Below are 19,818 nucleotides of genomic sequence, written 5' to 3' on the forward strand. Positions count from 1 at the left end.
TTTAAATTAGGTAATTAGGCTGATACAGTTATAAAAAAACTAAGGGTCTTTAGACTGTTAATATACTGAATTTAAGGTCTTAATGTAAATCCAAGTAACTCACATAGCCTTTTATGTGCACAAAAGCTGTCTTTCAACGTTAAGTTATATTGACAAAAAAGTACTGTAACTCATATAGTCTTTTATGTAAGTTAAAAGCTGTCTTTCATCTAAGTTATATTGACAAAAACGTACTAAGGGTAGTAAGTTAGGAGTGTCAAATAGAGGAGACAGGAAAATTTATCCAAGCAATTCTAATCTTGTCACCCTGTCATTGTACTTTTATCTGTCAGCTTGTTAGCCTGGCCTGTGATTTGTAGAGAAGGAGGAAGGAAAAGGGAAGTGGAATCAGAGGAGTACGAGCTTTCCTGTGGAATTGTAATGCCTTCTTCTCTCCTGCTTCTCATTATGATTTTCTTCCAAGTAGAAATGAGGAGCAGAAATAGTCCTGTCCACAGATATCCTTTGAATTTTCTGCCTTGCCAAGCTTGTGTAGTTTTTTGCCTTAAATTCTATTTTGTAGGCTATTAATATAGCTTCACCAACTCTCTTTTGGGTATCTGCCCCTTTTCCATCCTTCACCATTTTTCTGTTGTGTTAGTTTCATGTATTTTCATAACCCTTGTGGAGTATGATGATAACAACCCTTCGTAGTCTGTTACATATATAGTTTTTCAAGTCTGTTGTCTTTGTTTATAGGATCCTTTGCCATACAAATGTTTTTAAATGTTTTGTGGTCAGATTTGTCTTTCTCATTTCGCTTTTGGGTTTTGGGTCTTGATTAAAAAGGCCTCCCAACCCCTAGATTGTAATCTCCTGTAACATTCTTGGAAAAGAATATTGTTGTGATTCAGCTTCTCATCTATGAAATGAAAAGACTATACTGAAACAGTAGTTCCCAAACATCGCCAGTCAGTGGGAGATCACTTGAGGAGCGTGTTACAAGTTCAGATTCTCCAGACCCAACTAAAGACTTATTGAATAAGAATCTCTGGGGAATGGGGCCCAAGAAGATGTTTTAACAAGTTCCTCTAAGTGATTCTGATTATCAGCTGGATTTGAGAACCATTGGACAATATGATCACTGAGGTCTCTTCTGATTCTAAAATATCATTTCTGTATTATGTAACTCTTAAATAATACATTATCTCAACAACTAGATTGTAAGCTCTTTGAAGGTAAGCAAGACTGTGTCTTAGGTAATACCCTTTTCTTCGCTGTCAGCCCACTAAGATACTTACTACCTCACTCCTAGACAATTTTAGTAACCTTCTCTTATAGCCCCTCCAGTCTGTCTGTGGTCTTATTTATCTTAAAGCAACATTTTGAACATGACACCTTCCTGCAGAAGCTTTGGCTACAAGACAGAATCCTATTTTACCTTATAATCTAAGTGCCTCTGTAAACTAGCCCCAACTTTTTGTCTTTAGCTTTACCCAAGGGAGTGTGTACAATTATCTAAGCTGTGCTTTATACAGCTCCTTAGATGATGATGTGCATGGTCTTCCCTGGAATTGTATGATATGGTGGTAACCTTGACTTTTCCCACCCTTTTGCATTAATCCTTCACTCTAGCCTGATTGGTTTACTTTCTTTCTCTTTCATATGGTAATAAAGCCTTGTTTATTCTTATTTTCCTGCCAGTTATTTGTCATTCATCTTGCCTGGAATGCCCTTTTTCCCTTTTCTGTATCTAATCTCTCCATATTAATAGCTACACAGTGGAGTATTATGCAGACATAATAAAGAATGAGGAATATGTGTATGAACTCCCATGGAGTGATTTCCAGGATATACTGTTAAGTAATATAACAAGGTACAAAATATGGTATTTTATTTGGTAGAATATGGTATTCTATCTTTTGTATAAGAGAAAAAAGGAGTTAAGAATATATGTATATGTACACACATACTTCCTTATGTCTGCAAAGAGAAACATTAAAGATAAACTAACAAAACCAATGCTATGGTTTGAATGTATATGTCCCTCCAAAATTGTTGTGTTGGAACTTAAACCCCCAAGGTGATACCATTAAGAGGGGAGGCCTTTAGGAGGTGATTAGGCCTTATAAAAGGGAATTGAAGGAACCTAGCTAGCCCTTCTCCTTCCATCATGTGAGGACGCCTGGATGCCATCATCTTTGAGGAACAGCCCTCACCAGATACCCAATTTGCCAGCACCCTAATCTTGCTTGGATTTCTCAGCCTCCAGAACTGTGAGAAAAGAAATTTCTGTTCTTTATGAATTACCCAGTCTCAGGCATTTTGTTTATAGCAGCACAAATGGACTAAGACAACTGGTTATCTGTAGGGAATAAATAGGAACAGATTGAGAGGGAAAAAGGGGAAGGACAGAGACTTCTCTGAACATTCCTTTTTTATGAGTCTTCAACTTCGGAACCATGTAAATGTTTTACATATTCAGGAAATACATTTTAAAAATAATGGGAAAATGCTATGATTGAATAAAAAGAGAAACAAAAGAACCTACCTTACAGAACATATAGAGAAAAAATACACAGTAACTTTTGAATATAGCATGCTGACTGTACATCCTTAGTGGGATATGCTTTAAGGACAAAAAGAACTGCTCCCTTGACCAAAACACCTAAACTTAGTAGGTTTATTGTTACTAGTAATTTGACATTATAATTCTGAAACTAGTCTATGAACCAAGAATTTCAATGTGAAGGAAAAGATACACTAATATAAAATGAGTTAGGAAAAACCAGTATTAAATTTGAACTGAAAACATCAGTATAAACTCTATTTATGAATGAATGAGAGAGACTGGGTCTTGCTCTGTCATGGGTTGGAGTGCAATGGCATGATAATGGGTTACTACAGCCTTGACCTCCCAGGCTCAAGTGATCCTCCTTCCACAGCCTCCTGAGCAGCTGGGACAACAAGTGTACACCATCACACACCAGCTAATTTCTTATCTTTTGTAGAGACTCAGTACTTTCGGAATATGATAGCCTCTTACTGTGAGTTCATAATAGTCCTAGAAGGAGGTCTTGTAGACATTTTAGATTTTCCCCATCCCCCTCTGTTTCCCCTCCCCCAAACTTCATCCCATTTTAACCTATTCCCAGAAATTCTGGGTGTCACCAGAGAGCATTATGTGCAGCAAAACAGAAAACCTGCTTAACAGAAAACATTAGCAGAGTTCTCATTAGCATGCATAAAGAAAAAGCACAATGGAACTAGACCAAGTGGTTTTCACATAAGAACAGACTGGAAGGGCTAGGATTTTTCAGTTTGGAATGAAGGTTTGGCAAAGATATAACTACTTCTTAAGTTTGATTATGGGATATGGGTTAAGGGCAGATTAGCTTATTTACCAAATTCTGTGGCATCCTACTTCATTTTCACCTCCCACCTCCTACACAGAGTGGAGATACGGTCCTAAGTATAAACAAGGGTACTGCCTTTTGAAAGATCATGTCCTTGCACTATTAACGGTATGAAATGGTGGCTCACGCCTGTAATCCCAGCACTTTGGGAGGCCAAGGTGGGTGGATCATGAGGTCAGGAGATCAAGACCATCCTAGCCAACATGATGAAACCCCGTCTGCACTAAAAATACAAAAATTAGCCGGGCGTGATGGTGCATGCCTGTAATCCCAGTTACTCAGGAGGCTGAGGCAGGAGAATTGCTTGAACCCGGGAGGCAGAGGTTGCAGTGAGCTGGGATCGTACCACTGCACTCCAGCCTGGGCAAGAAGGGTGAGATTCCGTCTCAAAAAAAAAAAAAAAAACAGTATGCAAGCATTATGCTTTTGAGATACATCAATATTATTGCCCCCATGCCATTCCAATTAGTTTTTTTTTGTTTTTTTTTTTTTTAATCTGAGTAGTTCAATGGTAGGATATTGAATTTATTTAAGGGAATAGTGATCTAGGTAAATATCTTGTTTTCTTCAGAAATAATTGATTAGGAGAAATTGCAAATAAGAAAATATATAAATTTATTATCTACAGGCTGTTGTGTGGATTCATACTCAAGATGATTGTTCTAGAGAGAAACCAGTACATTCTTTTTTAGGTGCAAGGAATATGTAGAGATAATTCCACTATCAAAGACTGTATATACATTTTCCAAGATGGGGAGATGATGGTGATAAAACTATTTTGCTGTTCCAGGTCAGTAAAATCAAGACTTAACAAAATATGGGCCTTCATGGGAGGCCTGTGAAATAAATAATAAAATATATACTCTTAAAATATATAGCTCCTCAGAGTGTATAAAATGCTTTCACAGAATGTATGGAAGTGAAGCATGAACTGGCTTGCTGGATGTTTTCTTTGCTTCACAGCTGTATATTCTGGGTTCCATTATTAATATACATTTTAACTCTTGCTGCCTTTCCAAAGCAGTCTCTTCAGTTACTGTTAAGCTATAACAGGGTGGTGAACCTCTGGTTCTTGCACATTGCTGTGACCTTCAGAGTTGTGTTGACCAAAAAATAGTTTTGCAGCAATAGAGAATTATATTGTTGTTGAAGTGTTTTGTTTCTTTTCTTTTTTTTTTTTTTGAGATGGAGTCTCTCTCTGTCACCCAGGCTGGGGTGCTCTAAGCTCACTGCAATCTCCGCCTCCTGGGTTCAAGCAATTCTCCTGCCTCAGCCTCCCGAGTAGCTGGGACTACAGGTGCACACCACCACACCCAGCTAATTTTTGTATTTTTAGTAGAGACGGGGTTTCACCATGTTGGCCAGGATGGTCTCGATCTCCTAACCTCAGGTGATCCGCCCACCTCAGCCTCCCAAAGGGCTGGGATGACAGGCATGAGCCACTGGGCCTGGCTGTGTTTTGCTGCTTTTTTTCTCTTTTTTTTTTTTTTTGAAACAGGGTCTTGCTCTGCTGCTCAGGCTGGAGTGCAGTGGTACAATCACAGCTCACTACAGCCTCGACCTCCTGGGCTTAAATCATCCTCCCGCCTCAGCTTCCCAAGTAGCTGGGACTACAGGCATGCACCACCATGTCTGGCTAATTTTTAAATTTTTTTTAGAGATGAGATCTTACTATATTACCCAGGCTGGTCTTGAACTCTCAGGCTCAAGAGATCCTCCTGCCTTGGCCTCCCAAAGTTCTGAGACTACAGGTGTGAGCCACTGCGCCTTGCCTTTTTTTCTTTCCTTTTTTTTTTCCCCGCCTTCAATCTGTTCTGAGGACGAAGATTCATTTGGGGGATGGCTACAGAAGTGAACCAGGGTAGGCAATGAAAATATCATTCAAAGTTGAATGAAGCGTCCATGCTGGAAGGGGAATAGAACCTTACTATTATATTTAAACTGCCTGCTCTGGTTTGTTGAAGAACTTGGTATCAGTTTGCTTCTTAGGTTTCATAAGTCAAGAGATTTTTGTTCCATCATTCTGGGATTTTAGAGGAAATAGAGTTTATAGGGGACTTTGGGAAATGCTGGGTTCGGTGATATCTGAAAGTATGTGCCATTAAACATTAATCCTGGGCTGGGTGTGGTCGTGCACACCTGTAATCCCAGCACTTTAGGAGGCCGAAGCGGGTGGATCACCTGAGGTCAGGAGTTTGAGACCAGCCTGGCCAACATGGTGAAACCCCGTGTCTACTAAAAATACAAAAATTAGCAGGGCGTGGTGGTGGGTGCCTGTAATCCCAGCTACTTGGGAGGCTGAGGCAGGAGAGTCGCTTGAACCCAGGAGGTGGAGGTTGCAGTGAGCTGAGATGGTGCCATTGCACTCCAGCCTGGGCAACAAGTGAAAGACTCCGAAAATCCTTCAGGATTTTTTTTTTTTTTTTTTTTTTTTTTTTTTTTTTTTTTGAGACGGAGTTTCGCACTTTCGCCCAGGCTGGAGTGCAATGGCGCCATCTCTGCTCACTGCAACCTCCACCTCCCAGGTTCATGCCATTCTCCTGCCTCAGCCTCCCGAGTAGCTGGGACTACAGGCGCCCCCACCACGCCCGGGTAATTTTTGTATTTTTAATAGAGACGGGGTTTCACCGTGTTAGCCAGGATGGTCTCGATCTCCTGACCTCGTGATCCGCCCGCCCCAGCCTCCCAGAGTGCTGGGATTACAGGTGTGAGCCACCGTGCCTGGCTCTGAAGGATTTCTTGAAAAAAGAAATTCTGAAGCCAAATCCATTTGGGAAAACTCTGCAAACTGAATCCTCTCTTGGAGTTCCATAGTACGCTCTGATCTTACTCGTCAAAGCATTTGTTTGTTATAAACAACTTAAATATTGATAGGGAGGAGAGTAAAATTGTATTAATAGAATATTATACAGCCCTTAAAAATGAATGAACTAGATCTCAATCTTCAATCATGGATGGTTCTCAAGAACATTTAGAAAAACATTACAGAATGAGAATGAGGCATATAGTATATAATTTGTGTGTTTTTTAAAAACTGTATGCTTTCCCCAGTATATCTGAATAATAAACATGCATTTTAATAAAGTCTGAAAGGATTCATCCAAGCAAGTAATGATAGTTACTTGGAGAAATGACTGGGATTAGGAATGATGATCAAAAGGTCCTTTTTTGCATTATCTATAAGGTTTGAATTTTCTTAGGAATATATTTGTGTATTACTTATAATAAAAATTAATTAAATGCAAATACCTGTTAAGTGCTGAGAAAGTTACTTTATTTTCCCTCCGTGGTGATACCTACCCTGCTAAACTCCAAGTACATCCATTTATTAGTTCACCATATACAAATTAAACTGATTTTGGAGCCCTGGTTTTATAAACTAGGACATTTTTTATACCATGATAACAAAACGATTTTCTTACATTATGAAGATTAAATTAAGTGGCTTATACAGTCTAGTCCATACAAGTTCTCAAGAAGCAGGCTCAGTCAAGCTTATTGTGTGTTGGTTCAAGAGATCTTTTCGAGTGCAACAAAGAGAAGTTTGAACTTGGTTCTTGAGCAGCTGGAGGAGCTGTAAATAGATTGGAATATTATGGTTCAAAACCAGTTAAGATTAAAGAAGCAGACCGTCTTTGGTAATGTTCTTTCCAATTCCATGGACCTTGTTCTTTATCTTATTCTGTAGACTTGATTTTGACATCTGAGCCACACTTGAAGGCATTGGTGGTTCTGTTTGACTTTACCAATCACCAAACATCAATTTTAAATGGCTGCATTTTCATAATATAAATACTTTATTTTTAAGAAAGGATAATTGTGAAAAAAGCTGTAGTCACATTGAAGGTTTTCTATCAATACATTCACTTTATTCCTTCAATTTGCTTAATAAGAGCCATTGTCTGAGAAAGATTTCATCAATTGAAAGTATCTCTTTAGCATGATTTATTTTCAGGCATATTCCTCTATCCATCCTATCAAAGTGGTCATTTTTACATTTCATCTAAGTGAAAACTTGGATCAGGGCATAAACTGATCAATTTTATGCTAAAAATATTTTAATATATGTTATGAAGGGATTCAAAATTTCATTTACATTACAGATATTATGTTTATTTTTTATAGATGTTTATTGGCACCTACCACATGCTTGGTATGCCAGGAAATTCAGAGTATTAAAATGCATTACTGCCCTTAGTGAGCTTCCTGTTTCCTAAAATATTAAGCATGTAATCCATATGCATACAAATTACTGGTGATTTAAGATGATTCTTCCACCAGAATGCCAGTGGAAATTTGTACAGTGTAAACTGTGAAAGTGCTAAGTAGAGTGAACTTCAGAAATATTTTGAGTAGCCGCCATCGAGGATGGAAGGGTTGCAGGGCGTGATTAACCAGCAGAAAGTTATGAGGCCCCCTGTGTGGCTGCTGTGGCATCTCCATCCTGCCTCATCACTGGGGGTCTTGCACGTGGCAGTCACATAGTGTGTGTTGTTCATGGGGACTCTGCACTGCTTTCGAGAGAGATGAATGACATGATTAGCTTTATAGCCAGTGTGATTTTGAGGTGGGGTTTCGGGATTGAGCATAAGGTATACAAAGTGAAAGAGAGAAAAGGGGAGATAAAAAGGAGAACTTGAGCTCTACAATCAGAATTAGCTTTTTTCTTCAGCTCAGATGATTCTCACACTGGCTTTAAGGTTGTGATTGTTTTTTAATTTCCTGGTGCTTAATTGTTGCAACAGTGTATGTGTCAATTTTAAAAAAACATAGGTTTTCTTTAGTTGAAAAGTTGGACTCTCTGCTGCCCTATGTCTCTGTAATATGAATACCACAAAATTATTGTACCACCATTTAATGTAGAATTGATCAAGAATGTGACCAAAGTCAGTGAATTTGATGTCTGTTCATGGATAAAATTATTCCCTGGTAACAAGTTTATCTGCATTCTTAGTAATTTGATAAAGACCATTTAAATCAGCCTGATTCCTATCGATATAAAAATCACAAAAATGTTTAAGATGCCTATTTCTCCTGAGAACAGGAATGCTAGCTGTCAGTTTTCTAGTTTTGCTTTCATACCATGGAATTCCTTAGAAATCTGTTTTGTGAGTTCTAAATCATGCATATTCCTGTGTTCCAGGATTTCTCTCTGATCAAACGGACAGTTCAGGACTCAGAATCTAAGGATGAATGTTCACCGTGGCAGTGACAGTGACAGGTTATTGCGGCAGGAGGCCAGCTGCTTAGTGGATGATACTTTAGCTGTAGCCCAAGAAAAAGAAGCAAACAGCCTGGCTTCATCTGGTCCTCATAATCTTACTTATCCTCTAGGTCCCAGGAATGAAGGTACAGTGATTAACTCTTGACTTAATTTGGGGGGCTTTCCAATACTAGAGCATCTACTCTACCCAGAAGGCATGAATGTTTTTAATCTAAATAAATTATCCAATTAATTGCTTAGCTTGCATGTCACAATTACATAAAGCTGACCTTCACAGAAACTCTCCACTTATTTAATCAGTCTAGCACATCTAATATGGTGATAATGGTATTAAAACAAACAAACAAAAACAGCCACAGGTTTGGAGTCAGAAGACATATTCAACTTCTAGCTCAGCTGCTTATTAGTTGTAACCATGGATGAGATCCTCAGTCTTTCTGAGCCCTGCTTTTTCTTTACTTTATTTTTTATTTTTATTTTTATTTTTTGAGATGGGGTCTCACTCTTCACCCAGGTTGGAGTGCAGTGGCGCGATCTTGGCTCACTGCAGCTCTGCCTCCCAGGCTCAAGTGAGCCTCTCACCTCAGCCTCACGAGTTGCTGGGACCACAGGTGGGTACCACCACACCCAGCTAACTTTTTATATTTTTGGTAGAGACAGGGTTTCACTATTTTGCCAAGGCTGGCAAGCCTCACTTTCTTAATCTAGAAAACAAGGCTATTAATATTCTTCCTAGGCCCGGCACGGTGGCTCACGCCTATAATCCCAGCACTTTGGGAGGCCAAAGCAGGTGGATCACTTGAGGTCAGGACTTCAAGACCTGCCTGGCCAATGTGGCGAAACCCCCATCTCTACTAAAAATACAAAAATTAGCCGGGCGTGGTGGCAGATGCCTGTAATCTCAGCTACTTGGGAGTATGAGGCACAAGAATCGCTTGAACCTGGTAGGCGGAGGTTGCAGTGAGCCAAGATCACACCACTGCGCTCCAGCCTGGGCAAGAGAGGGAGACTGTGTCTCAAAAAAAAAAAAAAAAATTCTCCCTACCTCACAAGGCTAGTAGATTAACAAATTAATAGATGTGAAAGATCCCGATAAACTGAAATTCTTTTTAACTTTTAATTAAAACAATAGCACCAATAATAGCAACTACCATTTATCGAACATTCACTGTACTAGGAACTTTACATACATTCTTTAGATCAGGGGTGGCAAACTGGTCAAATCTGTCTACCTGTTTTTGTAAATAAAATTTTAATGAAACAGCCATCATGTCCATATTGTCTATGGCTGCCTTCCTGCTACAGTAGTGGCAGAGACTGACCACAAGCCTAAAATATTTACTTTGTAGCGCTTTATGGAAAATTTGCTGACTCTACTCCAGATTAGTCCTTACAACTATTATCCTTGTTTTACAGATGAGGAAACTGAGGCTTAGAAAGCTTAGGTAACTTGCTCAGGTTCACATTGCTAGGAGGTAGTGAGCTGAGATGATTTCTATATGTGTATTAACTGACAGAAAAGCCTATGACTGCCGCTGAAGAGTACACCATTAGGGAGAACTTGTGCAAGGAGTCTGTTTTCCTACTCGCCCATTTAAGCAGGATAGAACCTGAGGTGTCTTCTTTGGGTTTCGGAATAAACCCATTTTAATTGCTTCATTATTGGGGAGAAATCAAGCATTCTAAAGAACTGAATTAGTAATTCTGGTATCTATTTCTTTTTTTTTTTTTTTTTAGACGGAGCCTCGCTCTGTTGCCCAGGCTGGAGTGCGGTGGCGCGATCTCGGCTCACTGCAAGCTCCGCCTCCCGGGTTCACGCTATTCTCCTGCCTCAGCCTCCCAAGTAGCTGGGACTACAGGCACCTGCCACCATGCCCGGCTAATTTTTTATATTTTTAGTAGAGACAGGGTTTCACTGTGTTAGCCAGGATGGTCTCGATCTCCTGACCTCATGATCCGCCCGCCTCGGCCTTCCAAAGTGCTGGGACTACAGGCGTGAGCCACGGCGCCCGGCCCAGGTATCTATTTCGTTTTTAATAAACAGCACCTCACGTGTGAAAGCCTATCCTGGTGATCAAAGTGGGTTGCCTGTGGGTTACCTGGTGATTGCCTGTGAGTTACCTGGAAGCGTAGCTTTTGGTGTGCAAACATGAGACCACATTGAAAGTTTATGAGAAGCTATGGGATGGGAACTCTAAATAGGTTTTTGATCTAGATTTTTGTTGCCTTTTATCTACAAACAAATGGGAAAAAAACTAAGTGTCCTCTACCCAACAATTTATTTGGTTGTCTGAGTGTAGGAAATCAGACTAATTTCCCAGAGGTCATGGGCATTAATCATGTTCCTGAATTTGTTTACAAATTTTATAAACAAGAGGAATGGGAGTAATTCAGTTGTATTGATAACTTTTTTTTTTTCAAAAAGGGCTTGAAGAAAAGATAGAAAAATGTTAACAAATCTTGCCAAATGTATGTAGGTGATGGGGCGTATGTATTATATTAAGTTTGTGCTTCCCTATGTTTGGAATTTTTCATTAAAAAACTTTTTTTTACATTAAAACAAAATAGGGCTGGGTGTGGTGGCTCACACCTGTAATCACTTTGGGGAGCCAAGGTGGGCGGATCACTTGAGGAGACTGCCTATTTAAAAGAACCCTTTGGTAATCCTTTGTAAATACTTACTTCTGATTGTCTTCTATATACATCCAGATTTCATATATCTAGTTTTAAGCCTGTTTTGTATCATGCAGTATTTTACATATATATATAATTTTTTTTTCTTTTTTGAGACAGAGTCTTGCTCTGTTGCCTAGGCTGGAGTGCAGTGGTACAATCTTGGCTTGCTGCAACCTCCACCTCCCAGGTTCCAGAGATTCTCCTGCCTCAGCCTCCTGATAGCTGGAATTACAGGCACCCACCACCACTTCTGGCTAATTTTTTTTTTTTGAGACAGAGTCTTGCTCTGTCACCCAGGCTGGAGTGCAGTGGCGCGATCTCGGCTCACTGCAAGCTCTGCCTCCCGGGTTCACACCATTCACCTGCCTCAGCCTCCTGAGTAGCTGGGACTACAGGCACCCGCCACCACACTCAGCTAATTTTTTGTACTTTTAGTAGAGACGGGGCTTCACCATGTTAGCCAGGATGGTCTCGATCTCCTGACCTCAGATGATCTGCCCACCTTGGCTTCCCAAAGTGCTGGGACTACAGGCGTGAGCCACCGCACCCGGCCTATTTTTAAGTGCTCTCACGTCCTTAATTTCAGTTTATAAGTGAAACAGCCCTGTGAGGTATATGGAGTGAACATTATTTATCCTCAATATAGATGATGGACCAGGTAGAAAAATTAAATAAATTAACTGGCCAGGCGTGGTGGCTCATGCCTGTAATCCCAGCACTCTGGGAGGCCAAGGCGGGCGGATCACGAGATCAGGAGATAGAGACCATCCTAGCTAACACGATGAAACCTTGTCTCTACTAAAAAATACAAAAAATTAGCCAGGCATGGTGGCGGGCTCCTGTAGTCCCAGCTGCTCGGGAGGCTGAGGCAGGAGAATAGCGTGAACCTGGGAGGCGGAGCTTGCAGTGAGCTGAGATCGCGCCACTGCACTCCAGCCTGGGCGACAGTGTGAGACTCTATCTCAAAAAAAATAAAAAATAAAAAAAGGAAAGGAAAGAAAAATTAAATAAATTGCTTAAAGAAAACAGCTTTTTGGTGATACTAAGAAACAGATTTCATGAATGAATCCTAATGCCATTTGCACTGGAACTTTTCTGCTGAGAGTAAGACCTGCCGTTTTGAAAAAATAGTGTAGGTGATGTTAGGATTCTCCTGTACATAGTGAAAATGCCTTTTACTGTGAATTTCTAGGAAAAGTAATATATTGGAAAATTAAAGACTATCATTATCCCTTCTGAAAAATAAAATTTTGTTTTGTTTTGTTTTTGTTTTGTTTTGTTTTATTATAAGTTTTAGGGTACATGTGCACATTGTGCAGGTTAGTTACATATGTATACATGTGCCATGCTGGTGCGCTGCACCCACTAACTCATCATCTAGCATTAGCTATATCTCCCGATGCTATCCCTCCCCCCTCCCCCCACCCCACAACAGTCACCAGAGTGTAATATTCCCCTTCCTAAAATTTTAAAACAATTTTGAAGAATCTGAAAATGAATAGTTTTGGCACATATTAGTAGCAGGTTCCTTAAATAAAACACGGGAAATATAAAAGTATTATTTAGCAATAGAAGTGAAAACAAGTAAAAAGTGATTGCCTCTGAACCAACACCAGGGAAGGTATAGGGAATAGCAGGGGAGACTGCTGGGCCTCCACATAAATTCTTCTCTACTGTTTTTCTTAACCATATACATAGTTTACTTTAGAAAATTTAAATAACGTTCAAGTGTGGGCATCCTGCCTTCATCCTCTCCCTCCCCCAACCCTCACATGTACATGGAAGAGATCCAATATAAGTCTCTAGTTTTTTTGTTTGCTTGCTTTTTACTTGCTGTAGGCAAGAGGTTTTTTTTTGCCTGTGAACATCTAAAATTTGGGGGTTTTTTGTTTGTTTACTTGTTTTAAAGAAGACAGGGTTTATTTTTCTCTCAAGGCTTTTGCTCTCAAGTTGTTTTGGTTTCTTTGTATGTTCTTTTAGACCTCTCACTTGACTATGCCTCTCAGCCAGCAAATCTTCAGTTCCCTCACATAATGCCCCTTGCTGAAGACATCAAAGGTTCTTGCTTCCAAAGTGGGAATAAACGGAACCATGAACCTTTTATTGCTCCAGAAAGATTTGGAAACAGTAGTGTGGGCTTTGGCAGTAATTCCCATTCCCAAGCACCAGAGAAAGTGACGCTTCTTGTAGATGGCACACGTTTTGTTGTGAATCCACAGATTTTCACTGCTCATCCGGATACCATGCTGGGAAGGTAACTGATGATAATTTTCTTCCAAATTCATTCTGTTCTCTATAAATAAAAATACCTGCTGTTTATCTTGCATTAGATATAACAGTAAAAAGTATTGTATAGGTTGGGCGCGGTGGCTCACGTCTGTAATCCCAGCACTTTGGGAGGTCGAGGCAGGCAGATCACCTGAGGTCAGGAGTTTGAGACCAGCCTGGCCAACATGGTGAAACCCTATCTCTACTAAAAATACAAAAATTAGCTGGGTGTGGTGGCGGGCACCTATAATCCCAGCTGCTACTTGGGAGGCTGAGGCAGGAGAATCGCCTGAACCTGGAAGGTGGAGGTTGCAGTGAGCCGAGACTGCACCATTGCACTCCAGCCTGGGTGACAGAGCAAGACTCCCGTCTCAAAAAAAAAAAAAGCATTGTATTATTTTTCTGCCCTCATACATTTGTGAAAGGGAGGGCAAGCTGGTAAAAGCCTAATACATGTTGGTATTTCGGGGTGGGGAGAGTACTTCATTTACAAAGCCAGTATAGTAAAATGAGCCCCACAAAAGGAAATAAAATCTATTTGGAAACTATGAAAAAATAACCTGCTAAATCTCATTCTCTGCTCCTCTACAAATTCACTCTAAGTAATGTTTTCAGAGTTTCACAGGTCAAAGATGTTGGGGGTAAGGTGAGACCTAAATCTTGCTCCCTTTTTAAAAAAAAAAATAACAGTATTAGGCAAATGTTCTGCATGGCACAAGAACAAAGCTATTTTACTGAAAAGCATTTCCCTGCCATCTATTGCAAGTTTTATGCTTGGCAACAGATGCTATACTGTCATTTTCTAATGCCTTCCATTACTATTCAAGTTTTTTGAAATGGAATCTTTAAATAGAATCTTTAAACCTAGTTGTTTTGTTGTTTGTTTCATAATTGCCCTCTTTATTCTTCATGGTCCATTCTCTGTGCTGCTTCATTCAGATTTATCTCCTCTTAACCGTCTCTGGCCCCCAGAGTTTTAGGGTTAGAGTTTAGGAAATGGAAATAGCCTACTAAGGAGGAACACTGTCCAGGAAGGAGTCTCAGAGCCTGGGCTAGGAGTAAAGAGATTGTCTTTCTGGCCAACCATAGACCTTAACCTAAGGAAGAGCAAATTGGGATAAGAGTAAAAATAGTAATAATAATGATATTATACATGTAGATTTGGCTTTTGATCATTTTCATCTACTTAGAAGTAGATTTTATTTTGTTTAGAGATCTAACTCAGGACTTTGAATTAATTAAACTGAGTTAGAAATTCGAATTGATCACACTAATTTATTGAATTCTAGGCTAAATAGAATCCAGCCATTCAAATATATGTGTATTTGAACATATAAATTCACAGTGAACCATTTTTTTTTTTTTTTTTTTAAGACAGAGTCTCACTCTGTCACCAAGGCTGGAGGGCAGTGGTGCAATCTCGGCTCACTGCAACCTCCACCTCCCGGGTTCAAGCAATTCTCGTGCCTCAGCCTCCCAAGTAGCTGGGATCACAGGTGTGTGCCACCACACCCGGCAAATTTTTGTATTTTTAGTAGAGATGGGGTTTCACCACGTTGGTCAGGCTGGTCTTGAACTCCTGACCTCGTGATCCGCCCACCTTAGCCTCCCAAAGTGCTGGGATTACAGGCATGAGCCACTGTGCCTGGCCACAGCGAACCACTTTTTAATTAGAACCAAACCTGTCTACATATTTCTTAAACATCTGAATTAAGATAAAAGTAGAACATTAAAACATTTTCCAGACTGGCCCTCTATTTTTTATCAGGTTTGACTTCCTGTTCTCAGTTTGGGTATTACCATCATTCCCACCCCCTGAAAAAAGTGTTTCTCAGTGCAGGCTGGCTGTTTTAGGTATGTTGCCTCTGAAAGTAGTGATCAAGAGAAGAAAGGCAAATGTTTTCTGGGTAACAGATTCTTGGGTGACACTGGTTTTTTGAATCTTGGAATGGGTTGTCCCATGAAGAGGAGAGTCTGGTTCTTTATCTGTATGGTTCATTCAGCTGAATTGGCAAGGTCGTAAATTCTGTAAGTTATTTAGATTTGTTCTGTTCTGTGGCTACCTGTCCTATGATTATATACAGTACTTGTAAGCCTAGCCAGTGAGCTTACAGATGTGGGCCACTAGTCACAAGGGGAGAAGCTGAGAGAAAGAGAATGGATTAATGCAGATCCATGCCACTACTAAATAAATAACTCTGAGCTGAAGTCCAGCTGATAATAAATGGGGGGATTATAGTTACAATATGTTCACTATTTTTATTCAGAGCTCTCTGAGCTAGACTTCATTCAACCAGAGCATTCCAGAAAAACATCTGCATTCTTTGGAGGCTTTTATCAAGATGGAATTCTTATGTGTGGTACAGTTATTTGGGAAGCATGTGAAATGGAATCATTTTCTTTTCTTTTTTTTTTTTTTTTTGAGACGGAGTCTCGCTCTGTCGCCCAGGCTGGAGTGCAGTCGCGCGATCTCAGCTCACTGCAAGCTCTGCCTCCCGGGTTCAGCCATTCTCCTGCCTCAGCCTCCCGCACAGCTGGGACTACAGGCGCCCATCACCACGCCCAGCTAATTTTTTGTATTTCTTTTTTTAGTAGAGACAGGGTTTCACCATTCTAGCCAGGATGGTCTCTATCTCCTGACCTCATGATCCGCCCATCTCGGCTCCCAAAGTGCTGGGATTACAGGCGTGAGCCACCACACCCGGCCGAAATGGAATCATTTTCAGACCTTTGAAAAGCAGCCAGTTCGCCGGGCGCGGTGGCTCACGCCTGTAATCCCAGCACTTTGGGAGGCCGAGGCGGGCAGATCACGAGGTCAGGAGATCGAGACCACGATGAAACCCTGTCTCTACTAAAAATACAAAAAAAATTAGCCGGGTGCCCTGGCGGGCGCCTGTAGTCCCAACTGCTGGGGAGGCTAAGGCAGGAGAATGGCGTGAACCTGGGAGGCGGAGGTTGCAGTGAGCCGAGATCGCGCCACTGCACTCCAGCCTGGGCAACAGAGCGAAACTCCATCTCAAAAAAAAAAAGAAAAGAAAAGCAGCCAGTTCAGGCTGGAGGACAACAGTTGTGAACAGCTGAACAGGCAACACTTCCCAGCAGTTTAAGGAAGGAAATGGCAGTTAACCCCCATTTGATTGGGAAGTCAAATCTTAGGCTGGTTGAAGATAGCAGCTGCCTGCCCTATCCTTTGTGTTATCTAACCATTCCACAGCTCATACACAGAAGTGCAGCAGGAGTGGAAGTCATGGGGTCATTTAGACTGCAAGGGATCTGATAGAGGGAGGAAGGATGGGGAGAGGCAAATAAGAAAAGCTCTTCTCCCTGTACCCTCATGACTTCTGAGTTCATGCTGACAGCAAGCCTGTCTCTCTGAAATGCAGTAAACTGCTGATAAGCCTAATACCTACTACCCTCCTTTTCTACTTGATCTGAAAATCCCATCATTAATTATTCTTTGTATTGAGTAAGGCCATTTTTCCCCCAGAGCTCGACTATTAAGACATACCAAGAAAGCATTAACATAGCTGCATCTAACAGAAGATGAGATGTTGAAAAGTAAAGCTCAGAAATATTGATGAATGGCATATTAGATAGGTCAGTATTGACAGATGAGGGGACAGGAATAAAAAGGAGCCTAGATGCTGTCTTTCTGAGCTGTCAGTATAGAAAAGCAGGTTCTTGGGCAGTGGGGAGGGCATGAAAGGCCACCATCTCAACACAGATATTTTCCAAGGGCCACCTCTGCAGTTGCTATTTACTGCATTTACTGCCAAAGAAACTCACTACAGATGAACTTTGTGGACTTGATCCTTCATTCTTCTTTGTACACAAATGCTTAAAGCAATTGCCTTTTTTTCCTGTCTGAAGGGAGCTTCCTAAGACTTGAGGTGTCTTGTAGGCATTGGGTTCCAGTGCTGTGTTTTTAATTTATACTATGAGAGAGTGGGATGGAGTCTTCCAGAATGAGGTGGAGAAGGGAGAAATCTCATCTGTGAAGAATCATGATGGAGAAGATAACATTATTGCCTGGATATCTTTCAGGATGTTTGGACCAGGAAGAGAGTACAACTTCACTCGGCCCAATGAGAAGGGAGAGTATGAGATTGCTGAAGGCATCAGTGCAACTGTATTTCGCACAGTGCTGGTGTGTGGTAGCCTTTTTTGTTACATTCTCTTCCTCAGGGGCATGTGTGATCAATAGCCTTGAGAGTTCCATCAACTATGTTATTGACTTTAGGGTCTCTGGTTTCCAGTTGTTTCCTTTCTCCCTTTGTTTTCTATTCCTGTAACTTTTAAGTCCTTGCTTGTTTGTATGTGAGCTCTATCAGTTACCAAGTTCTGGTTAAACAAGTCAAGATAGCCAGGAGCTGTTTTGCCATCTAATGAATCATCCAATTTGGTGATAATTCCAGTAGCTCATTGCTTTAACAAAACCAGGAATGCACAGGGATGAAGAAGTAATTTTTCATCTTGTTCTCTGCCTACATTTTTTCTTCCTAATCTATTTACAGGATTATTACAAAACCGGTATCATCAATTGTCCTGATGGCATCTCTATCCCAGATCTTAGAGATACTTGTGATTATCTCTGCATTAATTTTGACTTCAACACTATCCGATGTCAAGATCTGAGTAAGTACAGGAGCAGGTGCCAGCTGCACTTAAGCAGCTGAACTTTCAGTTTTCTTGGAAGTCACCGATTTTTTTTTTTTTTTTTTTTTTTTTTTTTTGAGACAGAGTCTCGCTCTGTCGCCGAGGCTGGAGTGCAGTGGCACGATCTCGGCTTACCGCAACCTCCGCCTCCTGGGTTCAAGGGATTTTCCCTGCCTCAGCCTCCCAAGTAGCTGGGATTACACATACCTGCCACCACACCTGGCTAATTTTTGTATTTTTAGTAGAGATAGGGTTTTGCCATGTTGGCCGAGCTGGTTTTGAACTCCTGACCTCAGGTGATCCGCCCGCCCTCAGCCTCCCAATGTGCTGGGATTACAGGCGTGAGCCACCAAGCCCAGCTGATATTTTCTATTACTAAACAGAAGGAGTTTCAAGTTTAGGTTGAAAATCTTCTGCAGAGGCAGAGATGTGATACTAACTAACCCTTTTCCTCTCTTAGTTCAAAGCACTGTGAGGAACTGGAGTAGACAAAGGAAAACAGATAGTAGTTTCTAAATGGAGCCTGACCAGTGGGAGACCAAGCTGACTGCTTCCCTCTTGGGACTTTGGTGTCTCGACTCTAACAAACAAGGATACTGATTGTCCAACATGAGGAACAGTTCACTAATAAAGTCAAACAGCACAAATTGGCCAGGTTCTCCTGATCATGATATTGCCTTTTTTTTTTTTTTTTTTTTTTTAATTTGAGATGGGGTCTTGCTACTATGTTGCTCAGGCTGGTCTCAAACTTCTGGCCTCAAGCAGTCCTCCCACCTCAGCCTCCTGAGTAGCTGGGACTACAGGTACATGCCACCACGCCTGGCTTATTATTATTGTTTTGTTTTGGAGACAAGAGTCTCGTTCTGTCGCCCAGGCTGGAGTGCAGTGGCACAATCTCAGCTCACTGCAGCCTCCGCCTCCTGGATTCAAGCAATTCTCCTGCCAGAGCAGCTGGGATTACGGGCACGTGCCACCATGCCCGGCTAATTTTTGTATTTTTAGTAGAGATAGGGTTTCACCATGTTGGCCAGCCTGGTCTCGAACTCCTGACCTCAAGTGATCTGCCACCTCGGCCTCCCAAAGTGCCGAGGTTACAGGCATGAGCCACTGCACCCGGCCTATTATTATTAACTTAGTGTTTGCTAAGTGCTTTATAGATACGGACTTGCTTAAATCTTATAATAGTCCTGAAAGATGGGTGATAACCTCATTTAAGAAATTAGCTTATTCAGAGCTCTAGGCATTAAGGCCAGGATGAGAACTCAGATTGTCTGACTGCAAACTCCATGCTCTTATTACCTGGGCTTCCTGAAATTATATAAATAACTATTCTCTGAATTTCATGATACATTTCCCTGCATGTTGCATGAAAGCCCCTGTACATGTGATTTCTTTACTGAGTGTATTACACATTTAGAGTAAGTCCTTTGGTGTCACCAAAATTCAGATTATTCCTCTATTATGGTACTCTAACTCCATGAAATCAGGATCCAAACCATCTTCAGAAGAGGTACTACAAAGAATCATCCCCAAATGATGATTTCATCTCTTATAGGATTAACATGGTCTGACCTTGTAAGTCCAACAAAACCTCGATCA

General features: G+C 40.9%; 1 protein-coding gene across 13 annotated transcripts in view; it reads left to right on the top strand.

Annotated features, from left to right (window-relative positions):
* KCTD20 (potassium channel tetramerization domain containing 20) overlaps positions 1 to 19,818 on the top strand; it is a 48,142-nt gene that overhangs the window by 18,514 nt on the left and 9,810 nt on the right. For 4 of the 13 annotated variants that reach the window (XM_011514398.4, NM_173562.5, XM_047418378.1 and 1 more), the window contains 4 exons: positions 8,539 to 8,744; positions 13,276 to 13,549; positions 17,608 to 17,710; positions 18,078 to 18,198. The exons of 1 other annotated variant lie outside the window; for it this stretch is intronic. In XM_011514398.4, coding sequence (XP_011512700.1) covers positions 8,585 to 8,744; positions 13,276 to 13,549; positions 17,608 to 17,710; positions 18,078 to 18,198 — 658 coding nt within the window. In that variant the 5' untranslated portion in view covers positions 8,539 to 8,584. Of the gene's footprint in view, positions 1 to 4,087; positions 4,186 to 8,538; positions 8,745 to 13,275; positions 13,550 to 17,607; positions 17,711 to 18,077; positions 18,199 to 19,818 lie in introns of all 13 variants that reach the window. 8 more of the 13 variants (XM_005248940.6, XM_047418377.1, XM_047418380.1 and 5 more) reach the window with 6 other exon arrangements.

This window comes from Homo sapiens, chromosome 6, assembly GCF_000001405.40.
Source record: "Homo sapiens chromosome 6, GRCh38.p14 Primary Assembly".
In the NCBI taxonomy this organism is placed as follows: Eukaryota; Metazoa; Chordata; class Mammalia; order Primates; family Hominidae; genus Homo; species Homo sapiens.